Below are 16,734 nucleotides of genomic sequence, written 5' to 3' on the forward strand. Positions count from 1 at the left end.
CTCTCTGTTAACTATGATGTGAAGAAATTATGATTCCCTAGGGGTCCAAAAATCCTGACATGCATACCCTGTTAATCCCGTGTGTAGGACCTGACACCACCTAGAAGCTCAATAAATGTTTGTTCAATGGGAGAATAGGATCAGCAAAGATTTCTCAGGGGCTGTATTTATATCTATGATAAAAAGTCAACAAAGCCAAATCCTTTGCTAAATATCTTCATAGTGAAGTGACACAGAAAAGAAAACGAGAGAGAGAGAGAGGAAAAAAAAGGAAAGATAACTCATGATGGTTAAACCCTAGATGTTTAAATAAAACAAATGCCACTTAGGTAAAACTGCAAAGATATGTAGTCCAGTACCATAGATTGCTTTTGATCAGACTTGATATGGAGAAAGAATTTCGTGCTTAGAGAAATTTTAAAAAATTCTTATGTCCATTAGACTATTTCTTTCAAATATCAATATCAAATATTATATCAACTGGAGTTTTCATCAGGAAAATTGAAGGGGAAACCGAAAATTTACATGGAGATGTTGAAAAAAATATATGAACCAAGGTATTTCCAGCAAAGGAAATTGTTTTCTTTCTGGTTATTTTCTTTTGTGCATATTGGCAACTCTTTCTATGCCTTTCAATATCTTCTCAATATACTTTTTTCAAGAGGTAAATTTTTATTTCAGGTAATCTAGTAAATCTAATAATTTTACCTTACTCTTGGTATCTACTCTTTTGGTCATTTTTATTATTTTTCTCCCTGGATAAGATGTTTTCCAAGACTGCAATGAAGCTGTCATCCTTGGGTTTCTCTTTGCCTTTTTCTTGAGTTTGATTCTCTCTTTCCTAGAGCTCATGTCTTTCTTTCTTTGGATAGTCCTTTTTTTCTATTTTTGAAACATGCTCCAACAATTTTATTAGATTCAAAGAATGTATAATCAGAAAACAAAACTCTGTCCTCAGTGTGCTTTCCCACCTGCAAGACGGTTGTTCTTAATGCCTGATGTACAGTTGTCATTCTAGGATATCTTAGCAAAATTAATTTGGAGATTCTCTTGTTTGGATCCTTGCTGGATCTCCCATTTTTGGGCCACTTCCTTCTCTTGACTGATGCTTTCGCTTTGATGCCAGACTGTCTGAGTAGCTTCCTAAGAAATAAGGAAAGGAGGCAAACTTTTTGAGACCTCGTGTTTAAACATTCTGAAAATGTTTAATCCACCTGATAAGTATGTTGGCTCAGCATCAATTTCTTGGTCCGAAATTATTTCCTTCAGAATTCTGAAGGCCTTGCTCCATTGTCTTCTTGTGTTGTGCTGTTGAAAAGTCTAAAGCTACAGTGAACTCTGTTCTGTTACTCTCTCCAGAAGCTTATAGATTTTCATTTTGACTCTACTGCTCTGAAATTTTATAATAATATGTGTTGGTCTGTTTTCATCCATTAGGTTGGGTTCTCAGGGTCCATTTCAATCACAACCCCATGCCCTTCAGTTTTAAATTATCTGTCAATAATTTTAAGCACAAATTTTCTTTTTCAAAAAAATCTACAATGTGAATACTGACACTCATGAATTAGTCCTCTTTCTCAAATTTTCTCCCCTGTTTCTTCATTTCTTTATTTTTTAGCCTAATTTTTGGAAGACTTTCTCAGTTTATCTTCCAGCACTTTAATTAAATTTATTTCTGTTTTTATGTATTTAACCTCGTGAAGTTTATGTTCTCAGAATGTTTTCTCCCATAGCATCCTATTTTTTTTTGTCATGGTTGCAATGCTTATGCTTCCTCTTATCTCTTTGAAAAGATCAATGATAGTTTCTGTGTATACATGCACATATTTATGTATGTATCTGTAAAGTTTTCATCTCACTGCATAGTTTCTGTTTTATCATGATATTTAGTTATCCCAACATCATTTGTTCCTCCATTGAATTACCTTAGTACCTTGGTTGAAAATCAGTTGGCTTTAAATGTACAATCTTATTTCTAATCTCTCTAAGTTCTATTCTATTAATTTATATGTCTGTCTGTATACTACTAACACACTGTCTTCATTATTGTACCTTTGTAGTAAGTTTTAAATAAGGAAATACATCTTTCACCTTTGTTCTTCTTTTTCATGATTATTTTGACTACTTTATGTCCTTTGCATTTCCATAAGAATTTTAGGGTCAGCTTGTCAATTTCCATATAAAAAGGTAGCTGAGATTTTGATAGAAATTGTATTCTATCTTCAAATCAACTTGGAGACTATTGCCATCTTAACAACATTAAGTCTTCTGATTCACAACATGGGATATCTTTCCATTTATTTGGTCTTCTTTAATTTCTTTCAGCAGCATTTTGTAGTTTTACATGTATAAGTCTTGTAGTTCTTTGGTTCAGTTTATTCTAAATATTTTATTCTTTTTAATGTTATTGTGAATGAAATTGTTCTTGTAAATTTAATTTTGGGCTGCTTATTGCTAGTATGTAGAAATAAAATTATTTTTTGTATATTGATCTTATATCCTGTGACTTTGCTGAATTCATTTATTAGTTCTAATAATTCTATAGCGGATTTTTATATACAAGACCATATTATCTGCAAGTAGAGATAGTTTTACTTCTTCCTTTGATTCTGAATTTTTTTTCTTTTTTCTTTTTGCCTTATTATCCTGGAAATAGAAGAGGAGAGAGTGGACATCCTTATTTTCTTCTTAATTTTATGGGGAAAAATTTTAGTATTTTACCATTATGTATGATGTTAGCGATGGCCTTTTTGTAGATGTCTTTTATAGGTAGAGGATATTCAGTTCTCTTCCTAGTTTGTTGGGTGTTCATATCATAACATTGTGTTAAATTTTGTCAAATGCTTTTTTGGCATCAATTGAGGCGGCCATGTGGTTTTTTTCTTTTATTCTTTTAACATTGTGTATTAAATTCACTGATTTTCAGATGTTAAAATAGCCTTGCATTCCTGAGATGGGTTCCACATAATCATGGCATATAATCCATTTTTTATATTTCCAGATTCAGTTTTGCTAGTATTTTGTTTAGGATTTTTACATCTATATTCACAAGGATTTTTCTGGTAATGTCTTTGTCTAGATTTGGTATCAAAGTAATACTGGCCCCAGAGAATAAGTTGGGATGTGTCCTCTCTCTTATATCTTTTGGAAGAGTTTGTGAAATATTATTAATGTTTCTTTAAACATTTGGTAGAATATATCAGCAAAGCCATCTGGGCCTGAAATTTTCTTTGTGGACTGTTTTAAAATTTCTAATTAAATAACTTTACTTGTTACAGGTCTATTAAAATTTTCTGTTTCTGCTAGAATAAGTTTCAATACCTTATACCTTTCTAGAAATGTATCCATCTCACCAGAGTCATCTAATTTGTCATTCACAGTATTTGTATAATTGTCTTTTATTTCTAGAAAATTAGTAATTACATCCTCTCTTTCATTCATAATTTATTAACTGAATCTTCTGACTTTTTTCTTTATCATTCTAGCTAAAGATTTGTCAGTTTTGGTGATCTTTTCAAAGAAAAACTTCTTTTTTAAAATTCTTTGTATTGTTTTCCCATTGTCTATTTTACTTATCTCTGCTCCAATCTTTATTATTTTTTTTCATTCTGCTTGCTTTGCATTTAGTTTGCTGTTTGTGTAGTTTAAGGTAAGAGGTTAGGTAATTTTTGAGATTCTATTTCTTTTTAAATATAGACATTTATAGCTAAAAATTCCCCTCAAAGCCTGCTTTTGCTGCATTCATACATTTTGATATGTTTTGTTTTGGTTTTCACTCATCTTGAAGTATATTCTATTTCCCTGTGATATCTTATTTGACCCATTACTTAGGAGTGTTTTAAAAAATTGCTACATATTTGTGAATTGCCTAAATTTTCTTCTTCTATGGATTTCTAATCTCATTCTGCTGCAGTCAGAAATGTTATTTTGTATGATTTCAACTCTTTAAAATTATTGAGGCTTATTTTGTGGACTATCATATGGTCTATCCTGCTTGGAGAATGTTCCATGTACAGTTGAGAAATGTAAGTATTCTTCTCATAGATATTATTTTTTTAGGTGGTGTCTTTTACAGATGTCTATTAGGACTACTTGATTTATTTAAAATGACATACTAGAAAATACCTATTTAATTCAAAAAAATGCAGTAATGCAGGAGTAAAGGCATAAAAAGATATGACATGTAACACATAGTATAATGGCAAACAGAAATCCTATCTTATCAATAATTACATTCAGTCTAAATAGATTAAACATTTCAATTTATTATTATTGTTCAAATCTTCTGTTTTGTTGTTGGTCTTCTAATTGTTTCATCCATTATTGAAAGTGGAGTTTTAAAGTATTCAACCATTGTTGAATTATCTGTTTTTCTCTGCATTTCTGTCAGTTTGTTTAATTGGGACTCTGTTTTCAGGTCTACATGTGTTTTTAATTGTTATGTCTTCCTAATAGATTGACTCTTTTATCATTATAAAATGTTTTTGTCTTTATTAACAATTTTTATCTTATTGTCTATATAATAGGTAATATGATATGATATAGTATATAAAAATATAGCCATTCCAGCTACGTTTTGGTTACTATTTGGATAATATATCTTTTTCATTATTTTACTTGGAACCTATGTGTTTTTTGAATTTAAAATGTTTCTCTTGTGGACCGCATGTAGTTAGATTATGTTTTATTTTTATCCATGCTGCCAATCTCTTTTGATTAGAATGTTTAATCTATTTAGATTTAATGTAATTATTGATAAGGTAGGATTTATGTCTGTCATTTCATTATATGTTTTATATGTCTTATGTCTTTTTATTCTTCTATTCCACCATTACTGCATTTTTGAGTTAAACGGGTATTGTCTAGTATGCCATTTAAAATATCTTGTTATTACTTTTATTATATTTTTTAAGTTACTTTTCTAGGTGTTGCCCTGGGAATTCCAATATCTTAACTTAAAAAATCTAGATAGGATTAGTACCAACAATTTCAATAGCATGTTAAAAATTTTCTCCAGTATAGTTTTATTTCCTCCTCCCTCCTTTGCGGTATTATTGTCATACACATTACATTTTTATACATTATGATTATATCAATTCCATTTTATAATTATTGCTTTATTGTCTTTTAAAACAGATGAGAATAAAAGAATTACAAGCAAAAATACATTTTTATCATCTTCATATTTACCTATGTAGTTATTTTAATGAGTGCTGTTTATTTCTTCATTTGAATCTGAGTTGTTGTCTAGTGTTTTTTCACTCCCACCTGAAGGACTTTCATTAGTTTTTCTTATATTGCAGTTCTTCAAGTGATGAATTCTGTTTTTGTTTATCTGAGAATGTCTTAAATTGTCTCTTTATATCCTGTATTCTATAGAATTCTATATTCTATATTCTATATTCAGTTTTGCTGAATATAGAATTCTTGATATTGACATTCCTTTATCCTTTCAATGCTTTGAATGTCATCCTACAGCCTTCAGGTTGCATGGTTTCTGCTAAGAAGTCAGTTGTTAATCTTTTAAAATATCCCTTGTATGTGATGAGTCATTTTTATCTTGCTGCTTACAAGATACTTTGTCTTTTGAGTTTTATTATCATGTGTCTGAGTGTGTATTTCTCTGAGTTTTTCCTCTCCGGAGTTTGTTGAGCTTTTTGGTTCTGTACATTGTTTCTCATCAAAATTGGGGAGTTTGGGGCCATTATTTATTGAAATATTCTTTATGCCTTTTTCTTTTCTCTTCTCTTTCTGGGACTCCCATTATGTGTGATGGTATATTTGATGGTGTTTCACAGGTCTCTGAGGGTCTGTTCATTTTTATTCATTTTTTTTCTGTTTTTCCAGCTGGATAATTTTAATTGGCTTATTTTCAAGGTTGCTGATTCTTTTTCTTCTGCCATCTCAGATCTGATGTTGAGGTCCTGTACTGAATGTTTTATTTAAATTACCATATTTTGCAACTCTAAACTCTTATTTGGTCCTTTTATGATATTTACCTCTTTATGATACTCTGTATTTGATGAGACATTCTTTCTCATACACTCCTTCAGTTATTTTGAACAATATATAATAACTAATTTTTTGTTTTTGTCTAGTGAGAACAACATTTGCATTTCCTCAAGGACAGTTTTTATTGATTGGCTTTTGTTTTGTTTTGTTTTTGTGTGTGTGGGTCATTCTTTCTCATTTCTTTGTGTGTCTTGTGATGGTTTGTTGTAAACTGGACATTTAAAATGATATGATAATATGAAAACTCTTGAACTTAGATATACTCCTAGGTTTTGTTGTTGTTTCTGGTTTGTTTGTTTTAAAGAGACTTTCCTGGACTAACTTTATAAAACCTATATATTTTGTCAAGTACAACACTGAAGTTCCTACTTGAATAGCCTAGTTAATGACTGGACAGAGATTTTTTTAAGTGACTTGAACAAATATGTCTACCACCCTTTTCTGAAGGTCTCTGTGTTTTTGTTGGAGCATGCCTTCAATGCTCCACCTATTTACAACTCAGTGTTAGTCTTCCCTTCTTGTTTGTGCAGCCTCGAGGTCTTTCAGATGTGAGAAATTAGGGTCTTCTCAGATCTTTCTTGGGCATGAACACAGCCCTGCACATGTGCATAGCCAGCCTTTTGTAGATCCACACGAATATGTCAGAGTTTTTCAAAGTCCACTATTAGCCAAGTTTATTATTTTGCCCCAGTTGGTATCACTGTCTCAGGCAGCTATAATATTAAACAATTACCATTGTTTTAAACATACACCCTGCTGGTATGGATTTCCTGACTTAGGAATCTCTGAACTAGGTCAAATAAAGACAGGCCTACTGAATGGGCTTTGCCAGAGAGCTTCCAGATAGGCCTAATAGTGATAATTCTCCAGAAATGGGACTTTTTGTTTGAGAGTCCACACCCTTTCTGCTTCCTTTAACCGATAGGATGCTGTTTTTCACAGCTACCACTATTCCAAGGCTGATTGTTTTAAGGCTAATGAAGAGCTGGGGAGAGGGTAATGGAAATAGGGTAAGTTAAAGTGCCACGAAGTTCACTGTTCTTATTGATAGTCAACTCTTTTTTTCTCGTATAAATGCTCCTCAGATTATTGAAAGCCTTTGGTTAATTTCTAGGGTTTTGAAAAAGTTAATTTTGACAGGTTTTGCCAGCGTTCTTGTTGTTTTTATGGAGGAATGGGGTTTCGGAGGTTCTATTTCCACTACCTCAGAAGTACTTCCCTCTCTTTGTCTTTTTAATAAAACCAATTTGCTTACTGTAGTTTCTATGGGATTTTTGCAAAGAAAAATATTTATTTTCATTCTACCATTTTAGAGTCTATATTTGCTCTGTTTGTTAGTCAGTAACAATGAATTTCAATTTTTCTGCTAGTAGAATATCAGGTAGGAAGACAAATCAGAAAGAAAGACATTCTTGTTTAAGGCCATTTTTCTTTTAAATTCACACATGATCAGCAGTTTGTTTTGTTTCTATCTAAAGCCAAATCCAGTGGCTACGTCTATATTTATGTTAAATAACCAACAGCACTCTGGGCCTTTCTGAATTTGCAAGGTGGCTTCTCAGCAATGCAGATCTCCCTTTGAATTCTTTTTGCCCTCTGCACAGCATAATGACATTGTTACATTTGTGTTATTCTTGCTTGAATACTATGTTATGAGAGCTTGAATATTTGCTAATGCATATGTAGGGGGAGGGAAGTTCCTTATGGAAATATTCCATATTCCCTGTGAAGTACCTTAAGCAGTTAGGATTGTTCACATTTTTCAGATGCTGAACTTTGGCTCAGAGGAGTAAAGTGACTTGCCATGAACAACCAGCTGGTAGGCACCAGGGTTGGGAGTTGAATGCAGGTCAGGTATATCAAAGTTTAAGAACTCCTTCCCTCTACCACACAATGTTCTTTACCCCAGATATTACGGAGTCTTAGATTGTCATTTAGTCTAAACCATCCAATGCTTAAAATACCTATACAGTATCCAATACCTTCTTGTGCATCTTCTTGTGTATCTAGGGCAGGTGAAGAAGTAACTTCATAAATGCTTTCCAATAAAATTATGCTTTACAGGGGAAGGCTAGATCTAGTTCCTTTTACTTTGGTGAGATTATGGGAGTAAAAGTGAGGGCGAGGCTCAACTTTAGCTCAATAACTTGTTAAAAAAACTCTCCATGCAGAGTTTCAGATTTACACTTATTCTAGTAATTAAACAAATATTTATTGAGCACCCATTATGTGTCCAGGGCTTGAAGTAAGACAGAAAAAGCCTCTACAAAAGGCAGATATGAGAGACACTTAATAGGTATATATACTCCATGAATGCAGTAATTTTCTCCTGTTGTATTTAATACCATATACCAGATCCTTAGAACAGTTCCTGGTACGTATGGATGCTCAGTAAACATTATGGAATTAATTGATTAACTGAGATAATTTCACGTTTTTAAAGGTTATAAAAAACAAAATGGGTTAGTAGAGTGTAGAGCGTTGTGGCACAGTGAGCTGCATTATAGTGGGTGGCCAGGAAAGGTTCTCTGAGGAGAGAGCATTGAACATCATTGTCATCTGGTTTGAGAACAGTCATGGATCATTTTTTTGAAATTACTTCAGAAACAGCCACTGAGGAAAACTCCTGATTCGGGGGCCCCATTTATATTTTTTATCACAAGGAACCCTAGAGTGTCCTTTGGAGTATGGCGGGAATGAACACCACACCTCACTGAGGGTCCATTGCTAGTGTTTTCCATCACCATTAGCCAAGGGATTAATTTATTTTTAAGCTATAGGCTGAAGCCTTGAGAATGTAATTTAGTTTCAGTTTAATTTTATAGTAATTTTCTTAAAGAGAATAAAGGCGACTTCTAGAAAGTGTATAGAAATTAGCAAAATTCTAAAAGTTATATAATCCAGAACTTAGTCCTTAGAAACAAGGGTGATCTAGGTTTGCTGAACACATACTGTAGATATTTTCCCATTTAGTCTTTGGACATGGATATAGGGCTGACTAGTGAAAAATCAAAGATTTGACATGCATGCTTTAATGGAAAAAACATGAAGATAGGATCAGGTCATAAGTATTACTTGTGTAATCTACGGTAAGTTATTGGAGGCCCTCATACCTCAATGTTCCCATCTTCATGATGGGCGTAATAAAATCTACCCAGCTTGGCAGTTGTAAGGATTATAGACAATGTGTTCAGAATACCATGAACAATAATGGCAAGCAGTAAATGGCAGTTAGTTATTAGTACTATGGACGCATCTTGAAGTCATTTTTAAATTCTCTTATGCTATTTCTGTGGACAAAGATGTGAAGATGTGAGTGATTATCAATGTATAGTCCTTGGTACTCTCTTAAGCAAAATAAGACATTAAGTAATTTTTTAAAATGGAGATTCTTTGAGTCTTATGAACAATGGTTGTGTAATTACATAGGCTTTCATTCTTAGACATGACCAAGATCATTACTAATAACATACTAAGTGACCAATTGAAGGCTAATACCAGTAGCGTGTTAGAGTTTACTGAGAATTCTTTTTTTTTTTTTTTTTCTGAGACAGAGTCTCGCTCTGTTGCCCAGGCTGGAGTGCAGTGGTGCAATCTTGGCTCACTGCAAGCTCTGCCTCCTGGGTTCACGCCAATCTCCTGCCTCAGCCTCCCGAGTACCTGGGACTACAGGGGCCTGCCACCACGCCTGGCTAATTTTTTTTGTATTTTTGGTAGAGACGGGGTTTCACTGTGGTCTCGCTCTCCTGACCTCCTGATCTGCCCGCCTCAGCCTCCCAAAGTGCTGGGATTACAGGTGTGAGCCACCGCACCCAGCCGAGTTTACTGAGAATTCTAATTCCGTTTTCTGTTAAAAGGTCTAGCTGCTATGCAATGCTATGACAATGTTGCAAGGTTCCTACTGTACATGCAAAAATATAAATTATTGGAATTCTTACAGTTTTCAAGAATTATGATTTGTTAATATATTAATAACATCTTAAATTGACCATGGTTTTTAATCGTGCCTCTTTTTGATTAATTTAAATGTAAGTTATTGCTAATTTCTCTCTCTAAAAAATTATTGTATTTATGGTTATCCCTTCAGGGTCTAGTAGTGAATATATGCATATTGGGTCCTATTGATTTCAATAATCAGATTTTTAAATGTGCAGGTCTTAGAGTTTTGTTCTGAATCATCCCTACCACCTGTCTTAGGTTGGATTCCCAGAAATGGACCTCAGGGAGAGTTTGTGTTAAAGTGATGTATTAAGATGTATTCTGAGGAAGTACAGTATGGGGGTGGGACCCTGAGGAGAAGGAGGTCATCTGCCCATCAACACATCCCTCCACCCACTGACAAAGTCCATTTTTTTCATCATCTCATTGATTCCACAGGCACAATGTTATTTCAGCTTTAGAAATAAATAGTATCTTAGATCATAAGGTAAATTCCCCAGATAGCTTAAAGAGTAGTTTTCAATGGCCTTTTCCTGATTTCCTCTGTGGCCAAAGTAGGAAGCAGCATAAGGATTATGTACAGGTGAATGAGACAAGAAAAGACAAAACCAAAAAGGTTTCTAAATTTCATTTTTTGGTAGCATAAAAACATTAGATTGTGATTCAAACAATTATCAGATATCCAAACCTCTCTTAACAGATACCAGATACCCAAACCTCTCTTGCTTACTTTTTGCCTTCTTGGTGGTTTGTGGGAATGGTATGGTTGTCCTGGTCATATTCCAATCTAGATAATTATATCTTCTCTTCTGCAAATTGCCTGTTGCTTATATTCCAAGTGCATTCTTCTTTTCTTTATGACAGACTGCTCCTAGGCACCACAGCATGGTGGTAAACAGCTGTAGGGAGCTACCCCAAAGATGGTTGCACTTCAGTGGTGGGTGAGCTCGTCCCGGTATAATTTATCAACTTGTTCAGTTTTTGAAGCATTTGCCATCTTTCAGGAAGAAAAGCCTGGAGAAGGGAAGATCCTATTATTTCTTCTATAAACTCAATAGGTTTGAGACACTGTTCTAATTAGAATGGAGATAACAACAATTTAACTTTGCAAAGGGGATGATTAATATAAATGGGTTTCTCAACAAGTATTTCATTGATAAGCTATTAAAGAATAAGTGTTAAATTTTAGATTGCCAAAGGTATCATACCTCTATGTAGTATTAAGCATTTCTGAGGTAGGCAAGAGAGTCATTGAAATAATAACCAAATCTCCCCAACAGTTTAATTAAAAGAAAATGTGAATTAGTATAAAAATCAAAACTATTCTGCTTTTTGTAAAAAACAGAAAACAACTTCATTGTGAGTGGAGATAAGAGTTCAGACAAAATTATTTAAGAGAAAATACATCCTGATTAGTCTCTTCCATTAACAGCAGCTCTTTAGAGACAACTTTTACCTTCTAAATGATTTAATGCTCCATCTTTTAAAGGAAAAAAAAACCCACGATACTCTTGTCATTTTCTGATTTATATTAGTGCTCCCTCCGACCCCCACAGTACTTTAAGGATAATACTCTACCTAAAATGAGTTCAATGAGTTTGGTTGAAATTGAAGATAATAAAGATAAAATGAAAATGAAGATAAAATATTTGGAGACTATTTAAGTTTCAGAAGAAAACATTTGACCTATTAAGAAGAGAGTTACTTTTATTTACTTCTAACGCTACAAATCACTGCAGGAAAAGAAGATAAAGTCCCTTTTCTATTTGTAGTAAAGAAAATGGTAGGAAATGCATTTTAGAAGCACACATATTGATTGTCATTAGATAAACTGTTTATGCTGTCAGAGCGTTTCCAGTAGTTGTGGCATCCATGGGATCCTAAAGAAGCCAAGAGATGACAGAAGCCTATCAGGTTCACAGACTTTTAGGGAACCTTAAAGCCCTCTTGGTGCCCATCATTGTGATAGGAGCAAGGACTATGACTAAGTCACCCAGATCAAAGGTGTGACCATTTCCCCAAACTTAAGATCAGCCTTTTCACTTCATGTATGTCTGTCTTCCCCAGCCACCACCCAATTTCTGCCCCCTCACTTCTCCCTAAACAATACAACCAATACCCCATAAAAAGTAATTAGGACTGTTCATGAGAAAATCCAAAGGGGGCAAATTCACATTGTTCTTTGGGAGGTTCCTCCCCTGTCCTTTCCTGCTAACACACACCACTACTAATTAGGCTATTGAAGAAGAGGCATCTGGCTGTTGCCAACTCTTGGCACCCAAGTTTCATGAATCTTTTGGTCAAGAAGGGAAATATTTCTTTCCTGATCCAAAGCCTAATCCCAAGAAAAAATGCCTCCAGGGGCCCCTTCTTCTCAGAAAAGGTAGAGATGATGTTAGGAAAGGCTTTGAAACCAAAAGGGAGTCCAGAAAGGCCAAAAAGCAAATTTCATAAACTCCCCTCCATTAATGGGGTCACAATGTAGAAACCCATAATTATAGTTGAGTATTAGGGCTTACCAATAATTATTTTTAGCTTATGAGTGAGGAAACCAAGGCTCTTAAAAGCTAAGCAACTTGCTCAAGTTCACCCAGCTGGCAAGTGTTGGCATCAGGATGAAACCCAGGTTCCTCTGACTCCAAATGGCATGCCATGCCCAAATTATATGCCGCAAATATAAGTTGTGATTATCACTTTATTATAAAATATGCTTTGTTGTGCACATTGCATGTTATAAGAAGCCAAAGTGGATAAAATGGTTTATCATATGTGTCGAGAGAGTAGGTGACTCAAAGCATTCTAGGATTCACTGTGGAAGACCTGATTCTTCATCCCCTTACATTGTGTCTGAGAGAGGAAATCCCTCTCTGCTCTCTTCCCTGATTCCATACTGACCTTTGTCTTCTTTCAATTTGTAAAGCATGGTGACATTACCTTTAATCTGTGTATATTAGTCACAACATTTCATTAGTCTTTCAAAAGCAGTTTTAGCTGCTCTTGCTTTTCTTTGTAAGTACAGGCAAGGTGTCCTTTCTATGTCTATTTTCAGGTGATCACATTTTTGTCATAGTAAAATGGAAGGCATAATGACTAGATTTCTGGGTAAACTCTCATAATTTACATATGAGAAAAGAAAGGTCCATAAAGTTAGTGATTTATTCTAGGTGCCAACAATGATTGGTGACAAATCCAGACTCCAAACTCTCAGTGTTGAATTTTCAATTCTTATTATTTTACCATTAATTAGTTTTCTATGTAACATGTTCCTAACTTATTGTTTCAACTGTATGTGTAGAGCTAAGTTTAAAGCAGGTAAAGTTACTGTATCATAGCATTTTGATAAGAATAACATCTGATTTATTTTCAATCTCCAAAATTTACCTCATTCATCTATGCTGAGGAAATCAATGGTCAAGTAAGTTTGTAAAGAGTGTTCTTTTAACAGTTAAAGAAGGGGGAGGAGCCAAGATGGCCGAATAGGAACAGCTCCAGTCTACAGCCCCCAGCGTGAGCCACGCAGAAGACGGGTGATTTCTGCATTTCCATCTGAGGTACCAGTTCCATCTCACTAGGGAGTGCCAGACAGTGGGCGCAGGTCAGTGGGTGCAGCGCACCATGCACAAGCTGAAGCAGCGCGAGGCATTGCCTCCCTCGGGAAGCGCAAGGGGTCAGGGAGTTCCCTTTCCTAGTCAAAGAAAGGGGTGACAGATGGCACCTGGAAAATCGGGTCACTCCCACCCAAATACTGCGCTTTTCCGACGGGCTTAAAAAACGGCGCACCAGGAGACTATATCCCGCACCTGGCTTGGCGGGTCCTACGCCCACGGAGTCTCGCTGATTGCTAGCACAGCAGTCTGAGATCAAACTGCAAGGTGGCAGCGAGGCTGGGGGAGGGGTGCCCGCCATTACCCAGGCTTGATTAGGTAAACAAAGCAGCCGGGAAGCTCCAACTGGGTGGAGCCCACCACAGCTCAAGGAGGCCTGCCTGCCTCTGCAGGCTCCACCTCTGGGGGCAGGGCACAGACAAACAAAAAGACAGCAGTAACCTCTTCAGACTTAAATGTCCCTGTCTGACAGCTTTGAAGAGAGCAGTGGTTCTCCCAGCATGCAGCTGGAGATCTGAGAACGGGCAGACTGCCTCCTCAAGTGGGTCCCTGACCCCTGACCCCTGAGCAGCCTAACTGGGAGGCACCCCCCAGTAGGGGCAGATTGACACCTCACACGGCCGGGTACTCCTCTGAGACAAAACTTCCAGAGGAACGATCAGACAGCAGCATTCGAGATTCACGAAAAATACCTGTTCTGCAGACACCACTGCTGATACCCAGGCAAACAGGGTCTGGAGTGGACCTCTAGCAAACTCCAACAGACCTGCAGCTGAGGGTCCTGTCTGTTAGAAGGAAAACTAACAAACAGAAAGGACATCCACACCAAAAACCCATCTGTACATCACCATCATCAAAGACCAAAAGTAGATAAAACCACAAAGATGGGGAAAAAACAGAACAGAAAAACTGGAAACTCTAAAAAGCAGAGCACCTCTCCTCCTCCAAAGGAACGCAGTTCCTCACCAGCAATGGAACAAAGCTGGATGGAGAATGACTTTGAGGAGGCGAGAGAAGAAGACATCAGACGATCAAACTACAAGCTACAGGAGGAAATTCAAACCAAAGGCAAAGAAGTTAAAAACTTTGAAAAAAATTTAGACGAATGTATAACTAGAATAACCAATACAGAGAAGTGCTTAAAGGAGCTGATGGAGCTGAAAGCCAAGGCTCAAGAACTATGTGAAGAATGCAGAAGCCTCAGGAGCCAATGCGATCAACTGGAAGAAAGGGTATCAGTGATGGAAGATGAAATGAATGAAATGAAGCAAGAAGGGAAGTTTAGAGAAAAAAGAATAAAAAGAAATGAGCAAAGCCTCCAAGAAATATGGGACTATGTGAAAAGACCAAATCTACGTCTGATTGGTGTACCTGAAAGTGATGGGGAGAATGGAACCAAACTGGAAAACAATCTGCAGGATATTATCCAGGAGAACTTCCCCAATCTAGCAAGGCAGGCCAACGTTCAGATTCAGGAAATGCAGAGAATGCCACAAAGATACTCCTCGAGAAGAGCAACTCCAAGACACATAATTGTCAGATTCACCAAAGTTGAAATGAAGGAAAAAATGTTAAGGGCAGCCAGAGAGAAAGGTCGGGTTACCTCAAAGGGAAGCCCATCAGACTAACAGCGGATCTCTCGGCAGAAACCCTACAAGCCAGAAGAGAGTGGGGGCCAATATTCAACATTCTTAAAGAAAAGAATTTTCAACCCAGAATTTCATATCCAGCCAAACTAAGCTTCATAAGTGAAGGAGAAATAAAATACTTTGCAGACAAGCAAATGCTGAGAGATTTTGTCACCACCAGGCCTGCCCTAAAAGAGCTCCTGAAGGAAGCACTAAACATGGAAAGGAACAACTGGTACCAGACACTGCAAAATCATGCCAAAATGTAAAGACCATCGAGACTAGCAATAAACTGCATCAACTAACGAGCAAAATAACCAGCTAACATCATAATGACAGGATCAAATTCACACATAACAATATTAACTTTAAATGTAAATGGACTAAATGCTCCAATTAAAAGACACAGACTGGCAAATTGGATAAAGAGTCAAGACCCATCAGTGTGTTGTATTCAGGAAACCCATCTCACATGCAGAGACACATAGGCTCAAAATAAAAGGATGGAGGAAGATCTACCAAGCCAATGGAAAACAAAAAAAGGCAGGGGTTGCAATCCTAGTCTCTGATAAAACAGACTTTAAACCAACAAAGATCAAAAGAGACAAAGAAGGCCATTACATAATGGTAAAGGGATCAATTCAACAAGAAGAGCTAACTATCCTAAATATATATGCACCCAATACAGGAGCACCCAGATTCATAAAGCAAGTCCTGAGTGACCTACAAAGAGACTTAGACTCCCACACATTAATAATGGGAGACTTTAACACCCCACTGTCAACATTAGACAGATCAACGAGAGAGAAAGTCAACAAGGATACCCAGGAATTGACCTCAGCTCTGCACCAAGCGGACCTAATAGGCATCTACAGAACTCTCCACCCCAAATCAACAGAATATACATTTTTTTTTCAGCACCACACCACACCTATTCAAAAATTGACCAGATAGTTGGAAGTAAAGCTCTCCTCAGCAAATGTAAAAGAACAGAAATCATAACAAACTATCTCTCAGACCACAGTGCAATCAAACTAGAACTCAGGATTAAGAAACTCACTCAAAACTGCTCAACTACATGGAAACTGAACAACCTACTCCTGAATGACTACTGGGTACATAACGAAATGAAGGCAGAAATAAAGATGTTCTTTGAAACCAACGAGAATAAAGACACAACATACCAGAATCTCTGGGACACATTCAAAGCACTGTGTAGAGGGAAATTTATAGCACTAAATGCCCACAAGAGAAAGCAGGAAAGATCCAAAATTGACACCCTAACATCACAATTAAAAGAACTAGAAAATCAAGAGCAAACACATTCAAAAGCTAACAGAAGGCAAGAAATAACTAAAATCAGAGCAGAACTGAAGGAAATAGAGACACAAAAAACCCTTCAAAAAATTAATGAATCCAGGAGCTGGTTTTTTGAAATGATCAACAAAATTGATAGACCGCTAGCAAGACTAATAAAGAAGAAAAGAGAAGACTCAAATAGACACAATAAAAAATGATAAAGGGGATATCACCACCAATCCCACAGAAAT

The 16,734-nt window shown here is 36.0% G+C and overlaps 2 protein-coding genes across 16 annotated transcripts in view; one reads left to right on the top strand and one right to left on the bottom strand.

The window, feature by feature from the left end:
• The window catches only part of ITPRID1 (ITPR interacting domain containing 1), a 144,631-nt gene that overhangs the window by 92,123 nt on the left and 35,774 nt on the right, over positions 1-16,734 (top strand). The gene's annotated exons all lie outside the window — the stretch shown is intronic.
• The window catches only part of PDE1C (phosphodiesterase 1C), an 811,448-nt gene continuing 805,278 nt past the window's right edge, over positions 10,565-16,734 (bottom strand). For all 8 annotated transcript variants that reach the window (XR_001744802.1, XR_001744803.1, XR_007060044.1 and 5 more), the window contains one exon: positions 10,565-10,965. The gene's annotated coding sequence lies outside the window, so the exon portion shown is untranslated. The remainder of the gene's footprint in view (positions 10,966-16,734) is intronic.

This window comes from Homo sapiens, chromosome 7 (genome assembly GCF_000001405.40).
Source record: "Homo sapiens chromosome 7, GRCh38.p14 Primary Assembly".
Classification (NCBI taxonomy): Eukaryota; Metazoa; Chordata; class Mammalia; order Primates; family Hominidae; genus Homo; species Homo sapiens.